Source organism: Homo sapiens, chromosome 8 (genome assembly GCF_000001405.40).
Source record: "Homo sapiens chromosome 8, GRCh38.p14 Primary Assembly".
Taxonomy (NCBI): Eukaryota; Metazoa; Chordata; class Mammalia; order Primates; family Hominidae; genus Homo; species Homo sapiens.
Window position 1 is genome coordinate 75,609,024 of NC_000008.11, and position 27,522 is coordinate 75,636,545.

The window sequence follows — 27,522 nt, forward strand, 5'->3', positions numbered from 1 at the left end:
ATAGCCACATATGCAAATATATAAAAATAGTAACACTGTCGAACTTCTACCAGCTGGATGTGTATTTGAGATTAAAATAAGGTTACGCCTACCAAAATTCAACTCCCCACTGTTAAAGTATAAAATATTTTCCTTTTCAGTTTTATCTTTTCTACCACATTTACCACCAAAATTACTTAAATGAAAATCATGTTTGAACACTAATTTTTTTTCTACAGTCATTTTTTAATCTTAGAGCAAAAAGTTTCAGATTGGAGATTTGTGTTGAATTGTTGTTCTATTATTTGTGAAACATTTTAAAATTTAGGGAGAGTGTTAGAAAAGTGGTAATTGGTGAGTGATTAACAGAACTCTTCTCTGTTAACTTCATTGTTGTGTACACCAGCTTGGGTTGACAAAGTTGGAATTAATAAATGATTGGGCACTGAGCGCAGTGGCTCATGCCTGTAATCGCAGTACATTGGGAGGCTGAGATGGGTGGATCACTTGAGGCCAGGAGTTTGAGACCAGCCTGCCCAACATGGCAAAACCCTGCCTTTGTTAAAAATGCAAATATTAGCTGGGCATGCTGGTGCGCACCTGTAATTACAGCTACTCAGGAGGCTGAGGCACGAGAAACACTTGAACCTGGAAGGGAGAGGTTGCAGTGGGCCCAGACTGTGCCATTGCACTCCAGCCTGGGCAACAGAGCGAGATGCTGTCTCTAAATAAATAAATAAATGTTTGGTAGCATGAACTAATGGCAAATCATCAGAACTGGGGATCAGGATAATGATGGCTTTGATGCTATAGCTATGACTATGGGTAAGTTAACTACCTTCATTGGTACAGTATCCTCATAGCTGTATAATAAGATAATTATCCTATATATTCTCTAAAATGCACTTTTAGAAGTGCAAATCTACCTGATATCCTGTTTAAAAAAGATTTATTTTTAAGCAAACATTTAGCCACATATATGGCAGCTTGACTTGCTCTGTTTAATTTATATCTAGGATACCTATAAATTACTTGAATTCTAGGGCTATTAGTAATTGGTCATTATAAAAAATTTACATTTGGGACAGAATATAAGAAAACGTATATATATATATACACACACATATATATCCATATATATATCCATAGATATATGTATATGGATATCCATATATATCCATATGTATATATACATATATTCCCTGTGTGTGTATATACACACACGATATATTTGCCAGCAAAATAAAATGTCAAAAATGTGTAAAAGAATTACTATTCTGTGTTTTTAAGAAAAGAATGTATTCCAAAAGATTCCTCTGTTTAGAAAGCTACTACAACTTATTAACATAATCTGTAAAACAATTTGCAATATTCATAGTGATTTGAAACAAAATATTTAAATTTGACATAAAATAAAATTAAAGACCAGGTTTATTTTACCCGTAGTTATTCCACCAAGAACTCTCTAGACATTGATTATTCTGAGCCAAGTGAATATTATGTCCAAATATGACATATACTCCATGTGAGAGGTGAAAATTAGTGAATTGTCATAATTTTGGCTGAGCCATGTTTTCATTGCCATTTTACAAATAAGCTTTTCTTGCTAATAGAGAAGCTTGACAATTCTCAGAAACCCAGACTACTTGACTGAAAATTCAATAAGTAAGTTAAGGATAGCAAATGGTAACCAGGCCTTGGGGAGGCTATACGATTTAAATACAACTTTTTTTTGACAGTTTGTAGTATAGCTCTGGTGGTTGGTTTCAAAATCTGTCAAAAAGATATAACTGGACTTAGGAGTTTAGTTTGATTCTTAAACCAAATAATCGGACAGCAGTGTGGCATTACTGCCTTTGGCCGTTCAGAAAAAAAAATCTGAGTTTTGAAAGAGCAAAAGCATTAACATCATCAGATTGCTGCTGTGTACTGGCAGAAAAACTTTCTAAGTTTCACTGCATGAACATTCGGTCAGGGCAATCAGATAATGAAGGCATCTTCACCGATGTCAATAGGACTCGACAATAAACACATCCCCAAAGAAATGATGTTTAACAATTATGTCATATAATGTGATGGGGGAGTCATCAACTTCCATTTGTTTCAATGGTGATTTTACTTTCATTTTCTCAACATCAGTAAAACAGTTGCACCCACATTTGTTATATTGATACTCAAGTAAAACTAAGGAAATTGACACTAGAGTCTCATTGTTTTCTAGTGCCACCAGGTTGCTGCTAAGAATCTATTTTTTAAAAAGGTAAAATTGAACCCGGCGCGGTGGCTCACGCCTGTAATCCCAGTACTTTGGGAGGCCGAGGCGGGCGGATCACGAAGTCAGGAGATCGAGACCATCCTGGCTAACATGGTGAAACCCCATCTCTACTAAAAATACAAAAAAAAAATTAGCCAGGCGTAGTGGCGGGCGCCTGTAGTCCCAGCTACTCGGGAGGCTGAGGCAGGAGAATGGCATGAACCTGGGAGGTGGAGCTTGCAGTGAGCGGAGCTCGCGCCACTGCACTCCAGCCTGGGCGACAGAGTGAAACTTCGTCTTAAAAAAAAAAAAAAAAAAAAAGTAAAATTGAAAAATATATTAGCATTGTGCTTAGAATTGTTTGTGACTGGATACATATTAAAAAATATAATTTATAATTGTATAACTGAGTCACTAGTCTCCAGAGTTTAAGGATGTAATAGAAGTTACATATTTTTTATTCCGCTGTTTGTATTCTGTAATATTTTAGTACCGAACATGTTAGATTTAGCCACTAAATCAACAGGATCCTAATTATTTTCGTGTTTATTTGGAGCAAATAACATCAATAGTAGGAAATATTTATTTTCCACACACTGTACTAAGTACTGTATGTGCATTTTTCATTTGACTCTAAAAATCCTTGCATAAAATAGGTACTACTAATATCTACATTTTATAGCAAGGAGATAGAGGTTTAGAGAAGCTTCATGACTTTTCCAGAGGACAAAGGCAGTAAATGGCATTCATAGGTGACTCTGAATCATGGCCTACCTGGATTTATATAGAGATCTTTCTGCAGGTATTTGATTTCATTACCTAAATAAATAAATACAAAAATAAATATTTGTAGGCCTCCTACTAGATGTTATGTAAGGGATTTGAGATAGCCATCCCATTGGAAAAAACTTATTATTGGTTCAGTCTAAATTTTATAGCAATTAATTCATTGGTGCAAACAAATTATCAAGGAACTCACCTGCCTCCCATTGTGTCATAATTCATTGCACCCATGGCTATTATTTTGAAGACATATGACCCCAAAATGTCACATTATAAGGGACTAGGTAAGATTGTGGCAAATCTCAGTTGAAGGGATTAACATGTGGAAATCAAGCCAGGAAAAGCAGTTCTGATACAGGGCTTTGGGTGAAAAAAAGAGGAGTACTGAAAGAATGTGTAGGGAATCACTTATATATATCTTCTATTAGTCTCTGTTTTCCAAATGACCATTTGTATATTGAGCAAATGAAGAATTTTTTGAAAGCATCATATGTATAATGCTTACAAGACAAAGAAGTAATCATTTTCTCAGAATTCACACTTAAAAGACTAATGCTGAAAATGTCAGAGCTGGGTTAAGGGGAAGACCAGAATGGAAATTGCTCAATATTCTCTAAGCAGTTAAACACCACCAGAAATGTAAGAAGATTTGAAAAAAAAAAAGTATTCCCTAGAACTCTTCTTGTGGAAAGTTCTGTGAGTAGTTTGAAGATGGAATGTTAAAGGTGAAATTTGGCTCCCAACCCCATCTATTTATATAGACTCTCTTCTGAGGAAATTGCAGTCTTCTTCTGTATTAGTCCATTTTTCATACTGCTATAAAGACATACCTGAGAGTTGGTAATTTGTAAAGAAAAGAGGTTTAATTGACTCACAGTTCTGCATGGCTGGGGAGACCTCAGGAAACTGGCATGGTGGAAGGGGAAGAGGCACATCTTAAATGGTGGAATGGAAGAGATAGAGAGCAAGAGCAGGGAAAACTGCCTTATAATACCATCAGGTCTCCTGAGAACTCACTCACTATCACAAGAACAGCATGGGGGAAAACATCCCCGTGATCCAATCACCTCCCAACTGGTCCCTCCCTCAACACGTGGGCATTATGGGGACTACAATTCAAGATGAGATTTGGGTGGGGACACAGCAAAACCATATCATTTGCTAAGTGGAAAATGCAAGTTTGGAGCTTGGAGTTTGGAGATGGCTTCTTCAAGACAATATAGTATTAACACAGCAATTCTTTATTTTCCTTTCTTCCTCTGGTGCACCCTAGCATCCTCCTTATCAAAATGTGTTTATAAGTAGTTTGATGATATATGTTTGAAGAGGTATCAGTTTATGAGACTTCTTAGGGCGCCCATGTGTCTAGTCTAGCCCTGATTATTGAAGACTGGAGGAGACAAAAATATGCCACAGTTTTACATAATTACTTATAATAAAATGAAGAAAATCACGAAACCCCAAATCAACAATAACAAACCAACAAGAAAAGCTTATAATACATTTCTGTTTCCCTCTTTATATTATTTCATCACTTTCATCCTTTGGTACCAGATAAACATTCACTAAATAAATCGTCACAGTGACTCCACCAGGCTAGATCTAGAAAAAGTTTGTCATCTTCTCATAGTGAACCAGATATCTGAGAGAAGACTGACTGCTGTTTAGTTCATATGTTACTGCTTCTAATATTTTCTGGATAATCGTGGGGATATTTACATAGTCTGGGAAATAAATTATATTTATATTTGTGCTGTGCACTATAAAGAAAATTAAGTTTAATTTATATATTTAGTGTCAAGTAGTTAAAACATAAATCCCCAGGTAATAATTGGACTATTTTCAAGAATCATTATAGCCACTGGGTTGAATGTTGGTGATGCAACACAAAATGTATATCCTCTAAAACTATAGGATATCCAAATTAAAGAAACAAAAACATTTTTCCAGATGGCACCAGTATAAAAGATGTTTATATCCCATCAAGTGACATGGAGGGCTATGAAATTCTGTCACTGTAACAGCAGTTTATAAAAAGGCTTTCCCTGGTCACCTGCATCCCTGGTCACCTGCATCCCTAGTCACCTGCAATAGGCACATTGGAATTTTTGAACTTCTCAAATGTGTACAGTTGCAAGTAGAGACAGAAACAGCCAGAGCTTTGCAAACACTATGGAAACAATATTTTAACAGTAGAAGACAAATGCTCTACTTTTAAACATTTGCAAACTTGAAAAATAATTCTCTGCAAATCCATCTTACTTGTATCATTAATGGGTGACACTGGCAGAAATCAGTTTGTAGATGATTGAGAGCCAGAATAACAGAATACACAAACCTAGCTTAGAATAAGAACATTCTCCAGACCCATAATGGACAGAAGAGTTTATCAATTTTCATGAGAAAGATTTAACAGTTAACATCAGAGCACTGATCGATTCCACAGTTCATATGTTCATATGTGTGTTGTATGCATAAAATTCTTTTCTATATTTATACTCAGATTTTAGTTTTATGTTGCAATTAAATTTTTCATTAAGGACCTAAGTTAAATGAAAAGAATACCTTTACAAGTAAGTAATGGAATATTCAGATATTTAAGGGATTATTTTTAGAAATAGGAAAATGCTTTTCAATGTGGCATAAAGAATAAAGTTGCAAGTTTCATGTGTGAAAAGATAGAAAATGTTAAATATGTTTAACTAAAATATTAAAAGATATGATATTGCTAATTTTTGAAGGATGTTATTATTATTACTTTTTTAAAAACAGTTTTCAGTTTTTTAGATGAAAATGCATTTAAAACTTTGAAAACTTAAAAAAGGTTTTCACTTCTGTGAGGAACTGGTTTAGATATTATATTACTATGAGCGAGTGGACCAGACAACTGTATGAGTCCCTGTTTTAGTGTGGAGAGTGAGAATCTGGGTCAACAGCACCATCTAAAGAATAGTGACAAAATGGAATTTGTTTCATTTTACCATATTTAGTCCTTGATTAAGAAAACTACAGCAACAACATGAAAGTTTTTTTTATATTTAAATATAATGTGCTTTTGTTGTTCTTATTGTTACAGAAAAAAGTTGGCATTGATAGTGATTGTGGGCTAAGTTATAAAATTTCTCTTATCCTTTTCCTTCCATCCTGTTCCATGGGCTTCCAATTATCATTGGCATTGTAAATTTGTACTTGCCAAAGACAGAGACAATCATTTATTTAAGTTAGAGATTGTGTTTATAAAAATCAGTGAGGTATTACGTTGGTTCAACCGGTATTGTCCCAAATAAAAAGCATTGCCCCTAAATTTCTAGATGGGTATAGATGGTATAATCTATTTTTGAAAATAGTGCTTGAAATGGAATTGCTTTTAGGACTACCTGCACTCCCTTAGCAACATTAAGCATATTTGGTAGTTTTTGGAAATCATCCCATTTTACTCTAGTCCAATCAGACCTTATTAAGTTTGTCCAAGAAACTTCCAGAAGAAAAATATATTGCCTTTAATAACTCTCCAGTCTTTATTTTTCTTACCCCCAGTTTTTCTCATCCTACACATTTGTGTGTGCATGCATATGCACACACACACAGTCACGATCACACATTCACATGCATACACACCTAGCAGTAAATTATTTTCATCCATTTATCAGTATTTACACCTCAGTGGGTAATTGACTTATCTTTTTGAAAATGTGCTTTCTACTTCTCTCAATCCTATTCAGCTCATTCTTATTTTTTTCTAAGTTTACCTTCAGTCAATCCCTTACAGCCATTTTTCAGGGTAGAAGGATTCTTTACATACTCCTGTCAATCACTCCTGACCCCTATGAAATGATATGATTGTTTTTTTCTGTCTTTTTATTCCTCAGTTTTAATTTGCATTTCTCCTGAATATATTACTTCCCTTTAGTATTGCAGCCTTTGCTTCTTCAGTCCTCCCTAATCCTCAGGATCAGGAGGAAAACACAACCCACCCTCTACTCCCACTTTCAGACCTTTGGCCGCACCATATCTCAAATGCTTTAACTCTGTTGGTATTTATAAAACATCTGCTTAACACGTATCTTCATAATTGCTTACTCTTAATCTTTAAATGAATTTATTTGGAGACTTCAGAAAAAATATTTGACTACTGATGCAGTTAACTTAATGGTTAGATGTCTATTTAGGATTACTGTATCTTATTAGATCAGTTTTTGAAAGTTATACTTTCATAACTAATTGTCTAATTAACATTGACTAACATAATACAGTTTGATGCCTTCTCAAAAATATTTTACTTTTACTGTTATGTTACTTTTTATATTTTTAATGTTTTTAATTTTATTTGCATAAATGCTTCAGTCTTTTGTCTGTTTAATTAAAGATTAATAATAAAGAACTAGCTTTAGATTTGGATAATCTTTTTGCTTCTTCATTTTATATTTTGTCTTATTTCTTTTTATACTTTCTTCTATTTCATTATTTTAAAAATATTTTGAATAAATGCTTTAACTGTTAATTTTTAATTTTTGTTAGTTTTTAATAAATATTTCAACCTGTAAATTTTTAATTTTAGCTATGTACACATGCATATAATATGTAGTGATATTATTGTCTTTTAGTCATAAATATTTTGTAATTTTCATTATGGTTTTCTTTTACTCAAATGTTAATTAGAACTGTTTTAAAAGTTTAGATTTTTTTAATTAAGCTTTCTAAAATGCTACATTTTAGTTTTAAATCAGTATGATCTGAAAAAAAATTTGGAATAATATTTGGTATTTGTAAAATTTGCTTTGCGGGCTAATCTTAATTTGTGTAATTATCCATATAACTAGAAAAGCATATGTACTCTTTAAGTAGTGTGTTCAGAATTCTCTCTCTCTTTCTTTATATCTGTCTATCTATCTATCTAATGATGCAGGAGTTTTTGCTCCATAGTTCAACTAAAATCCAGGTTCTTGTCACATGACCAGAAAAAATTAGGCACATGGTCATATTGAAAGATGAGGAGAGCAGAATTTATTAAAAGAAAGCTCTCAGTGAATAAAAGAGGTCCTGCCAACAGGCTTCCACCTCACATATTGAATACCAGGCCACCACACACGAGCTGAGAGGCCAGGCTCCTCCCCCCTGCATAAGGCGTGAATTCCCAGTGGCTCCACCTCACTCTATCAATATTGCAGGTGGGCCCCCAGCCTGTTGGGGGCATGCTCAGACACCCTGGACAGGTTTCCTCATCTACACAAAAGTATCTGATGTAAACACTTGTGGGGCATGTTGGAGATTCTCCGCGTAACTTCCGTTATCTGCCTCCTGCATCTAATACACACACATACATATATATATATGCCCACATCCGTGCACAAACACACACATTCAACTGTAATCCCAATTTATTATTCAACTCTGTCATTTATTTCACTTTTACTTCTAGTTCTTTGAATCTTGTTTTTTACTAATTACAGGCAACATGTTAAATGTATATAGATTGAGAATTAGTTATATGTTTATGGTAATTTTTTTACTTTATTATTATGCAACAATCCATAATCCTAACATTGCTTTGACCCTTAAGATACATTCAGTCTGGTGGTAATGTTGCTCACCAGTTAGTCCTTGCTTTCTTTTTACCTCTCTCAGTGTGTGTGTATTGAAAATATTATTAAACTTTTTTTGAATAAATTATGCTTTTTGTGTGTTTCCCCCAATGTGGCAATTGCTGTTGTTTAAGAGAGGTATATATATATTTTTATAGTTATTATGACATTGACTATATTTTAATTATTTTATTAGTTACTCTTATATTTTAATTTTCATCTTACATTTACTAAATTATAAATTATAAATATTGCTACCACCACCCTGAACAATACAAAGCCGCATAATATCTGAAGTCAAAACAACTTCCCAATGAATTCTTTCATTTTATTGTTGTCTAGTACTTTAGTCCTACTTTGATTTTTACTTCTGCTAAAGCAATCATTCCTGTTTTTGTAGTTAGTATTTATTTAGAATTTCCAATAGCCTTTCTTAAGACTTCAATTTCCTTCTTAACAAATATTTAAGAATATTAACATTCATTTCAAGGCATGAAAGTTATGTATTGGCTCTGTTTGAAAATGTCTTTATTTTCTCATTTTTCTATGATAAGCATGTGGCTGGATATTGAATTCTAGGTTGAGAGTTTTTTCCCCAGCATTTGAAATATTAATTTGTCTTTTGAAATCTTTTTGTTTATAAGAATTATGCTTTCATCTAAATTTTAATGAGCCCTAGGCATAAAATTGGGGCTTTTTTTTCTGGTTGTATTTATCTTTAGTGTTACTATAATATACCTAAAGGTACCTTTATTTATATTTATTTCCCTTAGAATTATGTCACTTCTAAGATAGATATCACCAATTCAAAATTAGCTTATTTTCTATACGTTTATGTATTTTCATTTTTGCATTGCCTATTATGCACTTTTTTTTTTAAGATAGAACTTCTTTTAAAAAGTGGTTGCTCTAAGAGCTAGATATATGTCTTCCACTTTCAACAGGCAACATAGTGTTAAACTTGTACCACTTCATGTACAGTGCAATAGCTTTACAACTGTATAGGTAAATTTACATTCCCTGATTGTCCCTGCCCCTGCAACAATTGTTTCTGTTGTAGCTGTTACAGGAAAGGGGTCCTGATCCAGACCCCAAGAGAGAGTTCCTGGATCTCACGCAATAAAGAATTCAGTGCGACTCCACAGTGCAAAGTGAAATCAAGTTTATTAAGAAAGTAAAGGAATAAAAGAATGGCTACTCCATAGACAGAGAAGCCCTGAGGGCTGCTGTTTGCCCACTTTAATGGTTATTTCTTGCTAATATGCTAAACAAGGGGTGGATTATTTATGCCTACCCTTTTTAGACCACATAGGGTAATTTCCTGACATTGCCATGGCATTTGTAAACTGCCGTGGTTCTGGTGGGAGTGTAGCAGTGAGGACGATCAGAGGTCACTCCTGTTGCCATTTTGGTTTTGGTGGGTTTTGGCCGGCTCCTTTACTGTAAACTGTTTAATCAGGAAGCCCTTTATAACCTGTATTTTGTGCTGACCTCATATCTCATCCTGTGACTTAGAATGCCTTAACCATCTGGGAATGCAGCCCAGTAGGCTTCAGCCTCATTTTACCCAGCTCCTATTTAAGATGGAATTGCTTTGGTACACACACTTCTGACATTTCCCCCCTTCCTTTCACAAGAGAACCCTTAATCCTAAGGGTTGCAGAGGGACAAAGACTCATCTTCTGTAACTTCTTCAGGCTGAATAGGGGCAATGATATACCTGCCTAACTATGAGGGTCTCTTGCATTCAGGGTAGAGAGAACCTCAGTCAGAAACCATCAGTATAGTAAGGTCCATTTATAACTCTTGAGTTTTGACAAAGGGTGATATCTGGAAGATTAATAAGCGTTTAAGAAAACATTCAGTAAATTTGTCCTGTATTCCTACACAAAGACTGTAACAGCAATATATTCCACAAGAGTAAAGCAAAATAAATAAAGTTATTCCAAGTAAACTAAATTAGAAAGCTTTCCATGAACTGGGCATCTGTTGTAACCAAACTGATATGGGGTTGCTAGATGACTACAATACATACCCAGGGTTAGCATATTGATTCAGATTTTTACATTACCCAACCCTCTTATTTCTTCTGAGTAGCCAACAGAGTTTACCAGTTGTTTCACAGGAGTAAGCAGGGTTAACCTAAGTTGCAGAAACAAACTTAAAAACAACTAATGAGACAGTAATTTAATGACAAGTATACCATAGTTCTTGAGACATATATTTCTCTCTAGAGTTTCCCATTTTTACTTAAAATAAGTCATGGTAAGACTGATTTTCTTTATTACTGTTGGCCTGATTATTTGTATAAAGTGCAGCAAAAATAATTAGTTTTCATATAGGCTCTGTGTGTGTGTGTGTGTGAGAGAGAGAGAGAGAGAGAAATACTGGTTTTTATTGGTTGGCACAAGATTACAACCTACAGTTTCAATGCCCTTCCCTTCCACACAGCTCAAGTGGAAGGAAACTGATTAACGCATAGAAAGGAACGGCAGGCTCACAGGTTTAAGCATTTGTTTTTACAAAAAGGAGCGAGATATGGGGGTGGTCACGTTTTACAGACAGTAACAATATTCTCTCTAGATTGCAGGGCATAAGTCTGCCTGTCCCCTGTTGCTGGTACGACATAAGGGACACATTAGTAAAGTAGGGAAAGGGGTTATATGTGTGGCTGGCCTGTTCTTAAGAGAGGAAGGTGGGATGGTATCTGGTGTGTACCTGTCTCGGACCAAACCTGGGGCTGGACCAGTGTCCCTTTCTTCTCAGCCCTCCTCCACAACCTGACTGTACTATCAGCCACACCCATGGGAAGGAGGTATGAAGGAAGGCTGAGAACATCCGCCTTGAGAAAAGGAAACAGGAAAACTATTTCCTTCCACCTTCTCTGGACAATATTCCACTCCCCTCAGCTCCAGAAAGCACTGCAAAAATCTTCCTTAGGAACGCTGTGAAGACACAGGGAAGAGGCCCACCCAGACAGGTGGTCCTGAGTGGGCAAGAAGAAAAGCTTGACTTTCCATGCAGTACCAAGCAAGGTTGTTTTGGAAACAAGCAAACAAACAAAAAATGGAAACCAAGACCATATACCCACAGGTTGGGTAGCTCCTAAATCCTGGAGAGCATTTGAATTGGGGGTAAGGGCAATTTTACTCCAGCTCCTTGTTTTATAACCCACACCAGGTGCCAAGAGGTTTAAGGACCACAACTGACCTCTCTTTCCCTACAAGCACCATTTCTTGGATTCCCAGTTTTGTTGAGCTAATTTGGGGTCATCCTTGCCTTCCTCTTCAAAAATGACTCTGCTTGTTGGTTATTCAATTTTCTACCCCTTTCTACAATTTTGAACACTCTGTCTAAACAGGAGATCTATATATGCTGTCATCCTGCAGTCCAAGGGATTAGGTGACCTAATGATGAGAAGGCTAACTTATTTGCTTTCCTGTGTGCTCCTGATGGAAATGAACAGCAGCAGAGTTCTGGTGGGATAGAGCAGTCTAGTCTGAGCCACTGTGTGATTCCCCAGGGGACTGGTCCCTGGGTACATGGGTCCCTGGCTCTCTGTTTCAGTTCCAGAGACATTACTCAACTTGGCATTTAAGCCTCAGCTAAAACATATGAGCATGAGGGGAAAGGGACAAGAAATACTTTTGCCTCTGGAAAAACATTTTTTTTTTTTTTTTAATTTTTTTTAATTTTTTTTAATTTTTTTTTTTTTTATTATACTCTAAGTTTTAGGGTACATGTGCATATTGTGCAGGTTAGTTACATATGTATACATGTGCCATGCTGGTGCGCTGCACCCACTGACGTGTCATCTAGCATTAGGTATATCTCCCAATGCTCTCCCTCCCCCCTCCCCCGACCCCACCACAGTCCCCAGAGTGTGATATTCCCCTTCCTGTGTCCATGTGATCTCATTGTTCAATTCCCACCTATGAGTGAGAATATGCGGTGTTTGGTTTTTTGTTCTTGCGATAGTTTACTGAGAATGATGGTTTCCAATTTCATCCATGTCCCTACAAAGGACATGAACTCATCATTTTTTATGGCTGCATAGTATTCCATGGTGTATATGTGCCACATTTTCTTAATCCAGTCTATCATTGTTGGACATTTGGGTTGGTTCCAAGTCTTTGCTATTGTGAATAGTGCCGCGATAAACATACGTGTGCATGTGTCTTTATAGCAGCATGATTTATAGTCCTTTGGGTATATACCCAGTAATGGGATGGCTGGGTCAAATGGTATTTCTAGTTCTAGATCCCTGAGGATTCGCCACACTGACTTCCACAATGGTTGAACTAGTTTACAGTCCCACCAACAGTGTAAAAGTGTTCCTATTTCTCCACATCCTCTCCAGCACCTGTTGTTTCCTGACTTTTTAATGATTGCCATTCTAACTGGTGTGAGATGATATCTCATAGTGGTTTTGATTTGCATTTCTCTGATGGCCAGTGATGATGAGCATTTCTTCATGTGTTTTTTGGCTGCATAAATGTCTTCTTTTGAGAAGTGTCTGTTCATGTCCTTCGCCCACTTTTTGATGGGGTTGTTTGTTTTTTTCTTGTAAATTTGTTTGAGTTCATTGTAGATTCTGGATATTAGCCCTTTGTCAGATGAGTAGGTTGCAAGAATTTTCTCCCATGTTGTAGGTTGCCTGTTCACTCTGATGGTAGTTTCTTTTGCTGTGCAGAAGCTCTTGAGTTTAATTAGATCCCATTTGTCAATTTTGGCTTTTGTTGCCATTGCTTTTGGTGTTTTGGACATGAAGTCCTTGCCCACGCCTATGTCCTGAATGGTAATGCCTAGGTTTTCTTCTAGGGTTTTTATGGTTTTAGGTCTAACGTTTAAATCTTTAATCCATCTTGAATTGATTTTTGTATAAGGTGTAAGGAAGGGATCCAGTTTCAGCTTTCTACATATGGCTAGCCAGTTTTCCCAGCACCATTTATTAAATAGGGAATCCTTTCCCCATTGCTTGTTTTTCTCAGGTTTGTCAAAGATCAGATAGTTGTAGATATGCGGCATTATTTCTGAGGGCTCTGTTCTGTTCCATTGATCTATATCTCTGTTTTGGTACCAGTACCATGCTGTTTTGGTTACTGTAGCCTTGTAGTATAGTTTGAAGTCAGGTAGTGTGATGCCTCCAGCTTTGTTCTTTTGGCTTAGGATTGACTTGGCGATGCGGGCTCTTTTTTGGTTCCATATGAACTTTAAAGTAGTTTTTTCCAATTCTGTGAAGAAAGTCATTGGTAGCTTGATGGGGATGGCATTGAATCTACAAATTACCTTGGGCAGTATGGCCATTTTCACGATATTGATTCTTCCTACCCATGAGCATGGAATGTTCTTCCATTTGTTTGTGTCCTCTTTTATTTCCTTGAGCAGTGGTTTGTAGTTCTCCTTGAAGAGGTCCTTCACATCCCTTGTAAGTTGGATTCCTAGTTATTTTATTCTCTTTGAAGCAATTGTGAATGGGAGTTCACTCATGATTTGGCTCTCTGTTTGTCTGCTGTTGGTGTATAAGAATGCTTGTGATTTTTGTACATTGATTTTGTATCCTGAGACTTTGCTGAAGTTGCTTATCAGCTTAAGGAGATTTTGGGCTGAGACGATGGGGTTTTCTAGATAAACAATCATGTCGTCTGCAAACAGGGACAATTTGACTTCCTCTTTTCCTAATTGAATACCCTTTATTTCCTTCTCCTGCCTGATTGCCCTGGCCAGAACTTCCAACACTATGTTGAATAGGAGTGGTGAGAGAGGGCATCCCTGTCTTGTGCCAGTTTTCAAAGGGAATGCTTCCAGTTTTTGCCCATTCAGTATGATATTGGCTGTGGGTTTGTCATAGATAGCTCTTATTATTTTGAAATATGTCCCATCAATACCTAATTTATTGAGAGTTTTTAGCATGAAGGGTTGTTGAATTTTGTCAAAGGCTTTTTCTGCATCTATTGAGATAATCATGTGGTTTTTGTCTTTGGCTCTGTTTATATGCTGGATTACATTTATTGATTTGCGTATATTGAACCAGCCTTGCATCCCAGGGATGAAGCCCACTTGATCATGGTGGATAAGCTTTTTGATGTGCTGCTGGATTCGGTTTGCCAGTATTTTATTGAGGATTTTTGCATCAATGTTCATCAAGGATATTGGTCTAAAATTCTCTTTTTTGGTTGGGTCTCTGCCCGGCTTTGGTATCAGAATGATGCTGGCCTCATAAAATGAGTTAGGGAGGATTCCCTCTTTTTCTATTGATTGGAATAGTTTCAGAAGGAATGGTACCAGTTCCTCCTTGTACCTCTGGTAGAATTCGGCTGTGAATCCATCTGGTCCTGGACTCTTTTTGGTTGGTAAACTATTGATTATTGCCACAATTTCAGAGCCTGTTATTGGTCTATTCAGAGATTCAACTTCTTCCTGGTTTAGTCTTGGGAGAGTGTATGTGTCGAGGAATGTATCCATTTCTTCTAGATTTTCTAGATTATTTGCATAGAGGTGTTTGTAGTATTCTCTGATGGTAGTTTGTATTTCTGTGGGATCGGTGGTGATATCCCCTTTATCATTTTTTATTGTGTCTATTTGATTCTTCTCTCTTTTTTTCTTTATTAGTCTTGCTAGTGGTCTATCAATTTTGTTGATCCTTTCAAAAAACCAGCTCCTGGATTCATTGATTTTTTGAAGCGTTTTTTGTGTCTCTATTTCCTTCAGTTCTGCTCTGATTTTAGTTATTTCTTGCCTTCTGCTAGCTTTTGAATGTGTTTGCCCTTGCTTTTCTAGTTCTTTTAATTGTGATGTTAGGGTGTCAATTTTGGATCTTTCCTGCTTTCTCTTGTGGGCATTTAGTGCTATAAATTTCCCTCTACACACTGCTTTGAATGCGTCCCAGAGATTCTGGTATGTTGTGTCTTTGTTCTCGTTGGTTTCAAAGAACATCTTTATTTCTGCCTTCATTTCGTTATGTACCCAGTAGTCATTCAGGAGCAGGTTGTTCAGTTTCCATGTAGTTGAGCGGCTTTGAGTGAGATTCTTAATCCTGAGTTCTAGTTTGATTGCACTGTGGTCTGAGAGATAGTTTGTTATAATTTCTGTTCTTTTACATTTGCTGAGGAGAGCTTTACTTCCAACTATGTGGTCAATTTTGGAATAGGTGTGGTGTGGTGCTGAAAAAAATGTATATTCTGTTGATTTGGGGTGGAGAGTTCTGTAGATGTCTATTAGGTCTGCTTGGTGCAGAGCTGAGTTCAATTCCTGGGTATCCTTGTTGACTTTCTGTCTCATTGATCTGTCTAATGTTGACAGTGGGGTGTTAAAGTCTCCCATTATTAATGTGTGGGAGTCTAAGTCTCTTTGTAGGTCACTCAGGACTTGCTTTATGAATCTGAGTGCTCCTGTATTGGGTGCATAAATATTTAGGATAGTTAGCTCCTCTTGTTGAATTGATCTCTTTACCATTATGTAATGGCCTTCTTTGTCTCTTTTGATCTTTGTTGGTTTAAAGTCTGTTTTATCAGAGACTAGGATTGCAACCCCTGCCTTTTTTTGTTTTCCATTGGCTTGGTAGATCTTCCTCCATCCTTTTATTTTGAGCCTATGTGTGTCTCTGCACGTGAGATGGGTTTCCTGAATACAGCACACTGATGGGTCTTGACTCTTTATCCAACTTGCCAGTCTGTGTCTTTTAATTGCAGAATTTAGTCCATTTATATTTAAAGTTAATATTGTTATGTGTGAATTTGATCCTGTCATTATGATGTTAGCTGGTGATTTTGCTCATTGGTTGATGCAGTTTCTTCCTAGTCTCGATGGTCTTTACATTTTGGCATGATTTTGCAGCGGCTGGTACCAGTTGTTCCTTTCCATGTTTAGCGCTTCCTTCAGGAGCTCTTTTAGGGCAGGCCTGGTGGTGACAAAATCTCTCAGCATTTGCTTGTCTATAAAGGATTTTATTTCTCCTTCGCTTATGAAGCTTAGTTTGGCTGGATATGAAATTCTGGGTTGAAAATTCTTTTCTTTAAGAATGTTGAATATTGGCCCCCACTCTCTTCTGGCTTGTAGGGTTTCTGCCGAGAGATCCGCTGTTAGTCTGATGGGCTTCCCTTTGTGGGTAACCCGACCTTTCTCTCTGGCTGCCCTTAACATTTTTTCCTTCATTTCAACTTTGGTGAATCTGACAATTATGTGTCTTGGAGTTGCTCTTCTCGAGGAGTATCTTTGTGGCGTTCTCTGTATTTCCTGAATCTGAACGTTGGCCTGCCTTGCTAGATTGGGGAAGTTCTCCTGGATAATATCCTGCAGAGTGTTTTCCAACTTGGTTCCATTCTCCACATCACTTTCAGGTACACCAATCAGACGTAGATTTGGTCTTTTCACATAGTCCCATATTTCTTGGAGGCTTTGCTCATTTCTTTTTATTCTTTTTTCTCTAAACTTCCCTTCTGGCTTCATTTCATTCATTTCATCTTCCATTGCTGACACCCTTTCTTCCAGTTGATCGCATCAGCTCCTGAGGCTTCTGCATTCTTCACGTAGTTCTCGAGCCTTGGTTTTCAGCTCCATCAGCTCCTTTAAGCACTTCTCTGTATTGGTTATTCTAGTTATACATTCTTCTAAATTTTTTTCAAAGTTTTCAACTTCTTTGCCTTTGGTTTGAATGTCCTCCCATAGCTCAGAGTAATTTGATCGTCTGAAGCCTTCTTCTCTCAGCTCGTCAAAATCATTCTCCATCCAGCTTTGTTCTGTTGCTGGTGAGGAACTGCGTTCCTTTGGAGGAGGAGAGGCGCTCTGCGTTTTAGAGTTTCCAGTTTTTCTGTTCTGTTTTTTCCCCATCTTTGTGGTTTTATCTACTTTTGGTCTTTGATGATGGTGATGTACAGATGGGTTTTCGGTGTAGATGTCCTTTCTGGTTGTTAGTTTTCCTTCTAACAGACAGGACCCTCAGCTGCAGGTCTGTTGGAATACCCTGCTGTGTGAGGTGTCAGTGTGCCCCTGCTGGGGGGTGCCTCCCAGTTAGGCTGCTCGGGGGTCAGGGGTCAGGGACCCACTTGAGGAGGCAGTCTGCCTGTTCTCAGATCTCCAGCTGCGTGCTGGGAGAACCACTGCTCTCTTCAAAGCTGTCAGACAGGGACACTTAAGTCTGCAGAGGTTACTGCTGTCTTTTTGTTTGTCTGTGCCCTGCCCCCAGAGGTGGAGCCTACAGAGGCAGGCAGGCCTCCTTGAGCTGTGGTGGGCTCCACCCAGTTCGAGCTTCCCGGCTGGTTTGTTTACCTTAGCAAGCCTGGGCAATGGCGGGCGCCCATCCCCCAGCCTCGTTGCCACCTTGCAGTTTGATCTCAGACTGCTGTGCTAGCAATCAGCGCGATTCCGTGGGCGTAAGACCCTCTGAGCCAGGTGTGGGATATAGTCTCGTGGTGCGCCATTTCTTAAGCCGGTCTGAAAAGCGCAATATTCGGGTGGGAGTGACCCGATTTTCCAGGTGCGTCCGTCATCCCTTTCTTTGACTCGGAAAGGGAACTCCCTGACCCCTTGCGCTTCCCAGGTGAGGCAATGCCTTGCCCTGCTTCGGCTCGCGCACGGTGCACACACACACTGGCCTGCGCCCACTGTCTGGCACTCCGTAGTGAGATGAACCCGGTACCTCAGATGGAAATGCAGAAATCACCCGTCTTCTGCGTCGCTCATGCTGGGAGCTGTAGACCGGAGCTGTTCCTATTCGGCCATCTTGGCTCCTCCCCGAAAAACTTAAACTCAATACATCTTGGCTATTTTGCCTCAACCCAGAGGGTTCCCTGGAAACACTTGTTGAACTTGGCCAAGAGGAGACTGTATATGGATGGCACACTTGTAAAAGGGGAGAAAGCACACTAGTTCATCTCTTTTAAAACTGGAATGGTCCCAGGGATGTTAACCTTTCTGATGCTGATGGTAACTGAGTGGAGTGGAGGTGACCATGTGAGAAAACTCCTTAAAAACCCTTAAGCTGTTTGGAGACTACACATCACAGCTGAGAAAACCAAGGCGGAGCCTCACTGCATATAGGCTATTTTTAACTGCCTTTGATGGAACTCTGTTCCATAGAAGGAATCTTAGATTAGACTTTTTAAAGCCAAGCTCAACCATGAGTTTGTACCCTCAAATATCTATGAGTTGAGTAAATTCCTGTCCTCTTGGTGTCCCAAGATAACTTGGGGCTCCTGGACCTGTCAGAAAGTGACATTCTTTACTTATCACAGATCAGAAACCCTGTACAGGGACTGTTGCAGGCAAGGTCTGAGGCCAATTCTCCAAGGATCTTTTATTGGCTTTACAAGTCAAATTTGATTCCTTAAAGGAAAGCACACCATTTCAGTTAAAGCCTTGGTGAGATAATCAATCTCCCCAATTGTGTCTTGTTACAAAGGAAAACAAATTCTTATTGCACTTATGCAATTAACTATATTGTCATTAATTTAAGAATACTTACAAATAGTTTCCAAATGTTGGAGAAATGAGAGAGAGAGAAACAAATATGCTCCAAATTTTGTTCACAGGAGTATACTTTACTCAATTGCTAAAAGCTGTAAATAGCTCAAAAGAAAAGTTTCCTTGACTCTGAAAAACAAAACAAAGGATCAGCAGCATTTTAAGCAAAATTAAAAAGATTACTTCCATTTTCTATTGGTTCAGTTAATTCAGTTAACTCCTGTTCTATTTAATATCCATGAACATTCCAGCTATTCATGAGAACTCTGAAAGTTGTTTCCTCTATTCTAATGTTACAATTTCCGAAGTTATTAGAAACCTGCATTTAAGAACAGCTGCTAGAGTTCTGCAGTTGATTATAAACCACCTTCTAAAGAGGATTTAAAAAAGACAATAATTGTCTGTGGATGATAAAAAGTTTTAGGACAGCTACTATTAAAGCCACAATTGATAAGGAAATTTGGTTACTTCTGTGGCACACAAAATGTTATATAACAATTATAATTATTAATACCATACACTATGTCATGTTACAATTATAGGAGTTTCCCATAACTTTGGAACATATACCAATAATAAGTTTATGCAAATACAGCCCAAAGAAAGCAAAATACCATTTGACATTTGATAATGCTTCCTGTATGATCTTTATACTAAATAAGCCAAATTACATGTTTACATTAATGTATTCTTAATGTTAAATCCAATTTTTAATAAAACCTTATAGACATATTTATCCAATTTTAATGTTTAAACATAAGGTAGGATTTTTATAAATCTTTTACAACCCTTTACATTTTTGTGTGTGAAAGAGCAGATCAATGCTTTAAGAAAAACCTGTTGTGCTTTTATTCCAATGTTTAGTTTATGGAAAAACTGAATAACACCCCTTTAACTTTAGCCAATATGTTCACACACAGAATCTCTTACAATTAATTTTTATAAGCCTTCCACAACTTGTTTAAATCTTTAGCGTTTTCTCTTACTTAAAACAATCCTTTAACACTTTAGGCAGAAAAAATCCACATTCCCATGTCTTCTTATAATCTTTCACAAAAAACACATTTTACTTTCTTTACACACTTTGCATGTAAAATTGTTTCTTTAGTAGTGTCAGTTACATGTTATATTTTATTTTTTATTTTTGGTGAAAACCTTGGTAACTTTGAGATTTTAATTATGTACTAGGTGTGGAGCCTAGCCTAGGACACACCAGGCAGAAGTGCAGATAAGAGCTGACTCTCCAGCATAGTTAGGGGGCATGGCTAACTCCACATGTCCCCAGACCTTGTCTAGCTGTAAAGCAGGCAAGTTGTACAGTAAGTCACAGTGGCATTTTATGAAGCACTTAGGAAACCTAACAACTTTTGAATTGTACAACATTTTTTGCATAAATTCCTATTCACAAATCCTTTCACAGCTTACACAGACCATCTGAGACATTCTTGGACTTTCTGACTTGCCCTAAACATCCCTCCTTTTAAACAACCAGTCATTTTACTTTAGGACAAGAATTTATAGCACAACATCCTTTCTTATATAAAATCTTTTTCTTTATAATTGTCTTTGTATAGCTAGGGGGCATGGCTAATTCCACATGTCTCCAGGCCTTATCTAGAATCTAATGGCTTTAAGGTAGGTAAATTGAACAGTTTTTAAAAGTTAAAAAAGCAGTTTATGACCTTAAAGCATGGGTGAATCTCCATTTCCTTTCCTAGAAGGAGTCTAGAGTAGTTAATTTTGAGCTTGCAAAGGCTTGTATTTAATATGATTTTTAGAGCTAACTATGACATGAACCCTAAAATTCCCATTCCCTGAAAGGTGGAGACCAAGATAAAGTATGCCACCTGGTTAAAAGGTCAAGCTCCCAAGGACATAAAACAAGGTGGAGACTTCATCCAGTTTTTCTGGTTGTTCCAGAGACTTGCAGCCAAGTTTGTTACCGACCAGCTTGCTGGGTCAGCTTGAAAAGTGGGTTTACAGGTGTTCTAAGCCCGTGTTTTATCCTGAAGTATCCCTTGACACAGAAAAACAAATTCATAGCACAAAAGACACCACCTTAAGACTAGCCTTAGGATTCTTTTTTGCATTAATCAAAACTTTACAGAAGAGATAAACACTTTTTTTTCCCCATTCATTCAACCATTTGCACAGAGAGAGAAAAGCCAGAAATCTGACTGGTAAGAAATTCTTACCATTTTGCCAGCATGCCAGGCTTCTGGGTTCCCTTTCCATGAATAGCCCTAGTGATCTGGCTTGTGGCAATATCACCCTGGGGGCCGAGCCACACCATAAAGGAAAATTATTATTTTTTGTTCTGCCCGGGGAAGAATATGTGTGATAAAACATAGACATTAGCCACTCTGCTCAGCACCCAATATCAAACTGGCAAGGCTTATATTTGCCCCCAGATGAACCCCATCATCTTAATCCAACCTCCAACATGGAGTTTCAACCCATGGTCTCTGGGCAAGATGGTTGCCCTGAGTAACCAAAACGATAAGAAAGGAAAAGTAGAGAAGGAAAGTATTGCCTGTGGCAGGGTGGGAAAGGCGAAGAGCTTAGGGAGGCCAGAGAAAAGACCCACTCATTGTAGCCAACAATGAAAAGTTCAAGTCGCTGCTTGTTGTTAGCAAAGGGATCTTTTCCAGCAGTCCCATCAGCTCTCAAGTTTCCACTTTTAGGGAGGAAAAAACTCCCCGTGTCCCATGATCCTGTACATGCCTAACCCTGTCATCCACAGCCATCAGCAAATAGTGCAAGGCAGATTAATCCAAAGAGAATAGTAGTTAACATCCTACATTGTCAAACCTGTTCTTAGCCGAGTGGGACTTTACTGAGAGGGGCCTCTAACCCCGTAAATCTTAGAAGTGACTCTAACCCTCCTAAGTTGGGCCTCTAACCCAAGGTTAGTCAAGTGTCCTTGGCTTTTATTAAGAGGGGTTTCTAACCCACCCTGTCTTAGGAGAGGCTCTAACTCCCCTAAGTTGGGCCTCTAACCTAATCCCACTCTTTACGCAGGTATATGCACCACACTTACCCAAAGTCAGCCAACTGGTGCACACAGATGATTTTCCTTTGGGTTGGGGGTCTCTTCAGTATCATCCCTTCCATGGTCCACCAGAAATATGTTACAGGACAGGGGTCCCGATCCAGACCCCAAGAGAGGGTTTTTGGACCTTGAGCAGTAAAGAATTCAGTGCGACTCTGCAGGGCAAAGTGAAAGCAAGTTTATTAAGAAAGTAAAGGAATAAAAGAATGGCTACTCCAGAGACAGGGAAGCCCCAAGGGGCTGCTGGTTGCCCATTTTTTATGGTTATTTCTTGATGATATGCTAAAAAAATGCATGGATTATTGATACCTCCCCTTTTTAGACCATATAGGGTAAATTCTTGACATTGTCATGGCATTTGTAAACTGTCATGGCATGGTGGGAGTGTAGCAGTGAGGACTACCAGAGGTCACTCTGGTTGCCATTTTGGTTTTGGTGGGTTTAGCCCAGCTCCTTTACTGCAACCTGTTTAATCAGCAAAGTCTTTATCACCTGTATTTTGTGCTGACCTCGTATCTCATCCTGTGACTTAGAATGCACTAACCATCTGGGAATGCAGCCCAGTAGGTTTCAGCCTCATTTTACCCAGTTCCTATGTAAGATGGAGTTGCTGTGGTTCACATGCCTCTGACATAGCTGCCTAGTGTATTATATCCCCATATGTTATAAACCCAAGAAGATGATGCTGTAATTTTTGTTCTAAATAATCACTGGGATACTTTTCCTTTATTCGAGAAGACTTGAGTTGTTTTTCAGCCTGAAAAACTACCTTTTATAGTACAGGTTTGCTGGTGATAGATTCTCTTAGTTTTCTTTATTCTTTTTCTTTTTCTTTTTTTGGAAAGGGTTTTTTTTCATATTATTAGTTGTGAATATTTTATTTTTTGTTAAATTCTTTGTTGGATTTTTTTAAATTTTATTTCTAATTTTTGGCCTTCATAGTTAATGATGAACAGTCCATGATTAATTTAATTGTAGTTTCCTTGTATGTCATCTTTCACTTTTCTCTGGCTGCTTTTGAGATGTATTTTTTCACCTTTGGTTACCAGCAGTTTGACTATAATATGCCTAGGCATGGTTTCTTTCTATTTATGGTGTTAGGGATATCTTGATGTTTTAAAAATTATCAAATTATGTCTTTCACCAAATTTGAGACATTTGAAACCATTATCTATTCAAATATAATTTTCTGTCCCATTATCTCTCTTCTCTTTTGGAAAGTCTAATTTTATTGATCTCTACCTACATATCATCTTTCTATGTATCTATTTATGTATGTATGTATGTCTCTATCTGTCTCTATTGTGAAAGAGAAATATCTTGGGCCCTTTCAAGCTGGGAACCAGTAAAGGCAAATCCATCTCCTATTCTATTCGAGTCATCCCTTTGCTCACAGAGATAGATGCATATTCTGATTGCCTCCTTTGGAAAGACCTATCAGAAAATCAAAAGAATGCAACCATCTGTCTGTCACCTACCTGTGACCTGGAAGCCTCCAGTGGTGGGGACTTGTTTTTAGCTGTCTCCACCTTTCTGGACAGAACTAACGTACTTCTTACATGTCGATAGATGTTTCATGTCTCACTAAGATGTATGAGATCAAGCTGTGCCCGACCACCTTGGCCACATGTGGTCAGGACTTCTTGAGGCTGTGTCATGGGTGCATCCTCAACCTTGGAAAAATAAACTTTCTAAATTAACTGAGACCTGTCTCAAATTTTGGGGGTTCACACTATCTATCTATCGGATGTTTTGATATTGTCCCACAGTCCCTGAGGCTGTTCTTTTTAATTTTCTCTTCCTTATTCTTCAGTTTAGATTATTTCTTGTGATTTCTCTTCAAATATACTAAACTTTTGCTCTATCATCTCCAGTTTGCTATTAAGCCTATACAGTTAATTTAAAAAATGCTCTGTATTGTGTTTTGCAGTTTAAAATTTTCCATTTTATTCTTGTATTAATTTCCTAGGGCTGCTCTGACACAAACTGGCTGGCTTCAAACAACAGAAAGTTATTATTTCCTAGTTTTAGAGGCTAGAAGTATGTCATCATAGATTGGTAGGGCCATGTTCCTTCCAAAGTCTCTAGGGAAGAATGCTTCTTTGCCTCTTGTAGCTTCTGGTGATTGCAGGTGTTCTTTGACTGTGGCAACATAACCACAATCTCTACCTCCATCTTCCCATGACATTCTTCTTTCTGTCTCTTCTGTATCTCCTAGTCTCTTCCTATGAGGACACCAGTGACTGCAGTTAGAGTCCATCCTATTCCAGTCTGACCTTGTGAATGAATCATGGTTTCCTAGTTCTTGGCACATTGAGTAACTTTGGATTGAATTTTTTGGAGTTTGAATATTAGGCTGTGGAGTCCCTGGATTCTGCTGTTTTCTTTTGAAGCATGTGATACTTTTGTTCTAGCAAATAATTAACATGATTAGATTCAAACTGAAAACTCTGTTCTACCTACTGTGGGTGGCAGTTCAGATCTAAGTTTATTTTGAGGTGTTTTTCATTTGCTCGTTTATTTATAGACTGCTTCTTGCATGATAGGTTCAGTGGTAAGCTGGGACTTGGACACTGTTTGTATATAGAATGGGATATCCTCTTTCATCAATCTCTTTTGTCCAAGTTGTTCTCTCACTTTCTTGCTTCTCTGGCTGAACTGCCTTGTTTCTTTTATTATCTTTTTTTATCCCTCCCCCTCTGCTACCCTTACACCCAAGTCCCAAAGTCCACTGTATCATTCTTATGCCTTTGCATCTTCATAGCTTACCTTCCACATGTTTGTTTCATTTTCCATTCTTGAGTTACTTTACTTAGAATAATAGTCTCCAATCTCATCCAAGTCACTGCAAATGCCATTAATTCATTTCTTTTAATGGCTGAGTAGTATTCCATCATATATATATATATGATGATATATGTGATATATATGTATCAATCACATATATATGTGATATATATCAATCATATATATATATATATATATATATATATCTCACAGTTTGTTTATCCACTTGTTGATTAATGAACATTTGGATTGGTTCCACGATTTTGCAATTGCCAATTATGCCGCTATAAACATGCGTGTGTAGTATCTTTTTCATATAATGACGTATTTTCCTCTGGGTAGATACCCAGTAGTGGGATTGCTGAATCAAATGATAGTTCTACTTTTAGTTATTTAAGGAATCTCCACATTGTTTTCCATAGTGGTTATACTAGTTTACATTCCTACCAGCAGTGTAGAAGTGTTCCCTGATCACCGCATCCACACCAACATCTGCTGTTTTTTGATTTTTTGATTATGGCCATTATTATTATTATTATTATTATACTTTAAGTTCTAGGGTACATGGGTACAACGTGCAGGTTTGTTACATATGTATATACGTGCCATGTTGGTGTGCTGCACCCATTAACTCATCATTTACATTAGGTATATCTCCTAATGCTATCCCTCCTGCCTCCCCCCACACCATGACAGGCCCCGGTGTGTGATGTTCCCCTTCCTGTGTCCAAGTGCTCTCATTGTTCAATTCCCATCTATGAGTGAGTACATGCAGTGTTTGGTTTTCTGTCCTTGCGATGGTTTGCTCAGAATGATGGTTTCCAGCTTCATTCATGTCCCTACAAAGGACATGAACTCACCTTTTTTATGGCTGCAGAGTATTCCATGGTGTATATGTGCCACATTTTCTTAATCCAGTCTATCACTGATGGACATTTGGGTTGGTTCCAAGTCTTTGTTATTGTGAATAGTGCCACAATAAACATACGTGTGCACATGTCATTATAGCAGCATGATTTATAATCCTTTGGATATATACTCAGTAATGGGATGGCTGGGTCAAATGGTATTTTTAGTTCTAGATCCTTGAGGACTCTCCACACTGGCTTCCACAATGGTTGAACTAGTTTACAGTCCCACCAACAGTGTAAAAGTGTTCCTATTTCTCCACATCCTCTCCAGCACCTGTTGTTTCCTGACTTTTTAATGATCACCATTCTAACTGGTGTGAGATGGTTTTGATTTGCATTTCTCTGATGGCCAGTGATGATGAGCATTTTTTCATGTGTCTTTTGGCTGTATAAGTGTCTTCTTTTGAGAAGTGTCTGTTCATATCCTTCGCCCACTTTTTGATGCGGTTGTTTGATTTTTTCTTGTAAATTTGTTTAAGTTCTTTGTGGATTCTGGATATTAGCCCTTTGTCAGATGGGTAGATTGCAAAAAATTTCTCCCATTTTGTAGGTTGCCTGTTCACTCTGATGGTAGTTTCTTTTGCTGTGCAGAAGCTCTTTAGTTTAATTAGATCCCATTTGTCAATTTTGGCTTCTGCTGCCATTGCTTTTGGTGTTTTAGACGTAAAGTCCTTGCCCATGCCTATGTCCTGAATGGTAATGCCTAGGTTTTCTTCTAGGGTTTTTATGGTTTTAGGTCTAACATTTAAGTCTTTAGTCCATCTTGAATTAATTTTTATTTAAGGTGTAAGGAAGGGATCCAGTTTCAGCTTTCTGCATATCGCTAGCCAGTTTTCCCAGCACCATTTATAAAACAGGGAATCTTTCCCCATTTCTTGTTTTTGTCAGGTTTGTCAAAGATCAGATGGTTGTAGATGTGTGGTATTACTTCTGAGGGCTCTATTCTGTTCCATTGGTCTATATATCTGTTTTGGTACTAGAACCATGCTATTTTGGTTACTGTAGCCTTGTAGTATAGTTTGAAGTCAGGTAGTGTGATGCCTCCAGCTTTCTTCTTTTGGCTTAGGATTTTCTTGGCAATGCAGGCTCTTTTTTTGGTTCCATATGAACTTTAAACTAGTTTTTTCCAATTCTGTGAAGAAAGTCTTTCATAGCTTGATGGGGATGGCATTGAATCTACAAATTACCTTGGGCAGTGTGGCCATTTTCATGATATTGATTCTTCCTATCCATGAGCATGGAATGTTCTTCCATTTGTTTGTGTCCTCTTTTATTTCATTGAGCAGTGGTTTGTAGTTCTCCTTGAAGAGGTCCTTTACATCTCTTGTAAGTTGGATTCCTAGGTATTTTATTTTCTTTGAAGCAATTGTGAATGGGAGTTCCCTCATGATTTGGCTCTCTGTTTGTCTGTTATTGGTGTATAAGAATGCTTGTGATTTTTGCACATTGATTTTGTATCTTGACACTTTGCTGCAATTGCTTTTCAGCTTAAGGATATTTTGGGCTGAGACGATGGGGTTTTCTAAATATACAATTTTGTCTTCTGCAATCAGGGACAATTTGACTTCCTCTTTTCCTAATTGAATACACTTTATTTCTTTTTCCTGCCTGATTGCCCTGGCCAGAACTTCCAACACTATGTTGAATAGGAGTGGTGAGAGAGGGCATCCCTGTCTTGTGCCAGTTTGCAAAGGGAGTGCTTCCAGTTTTTGC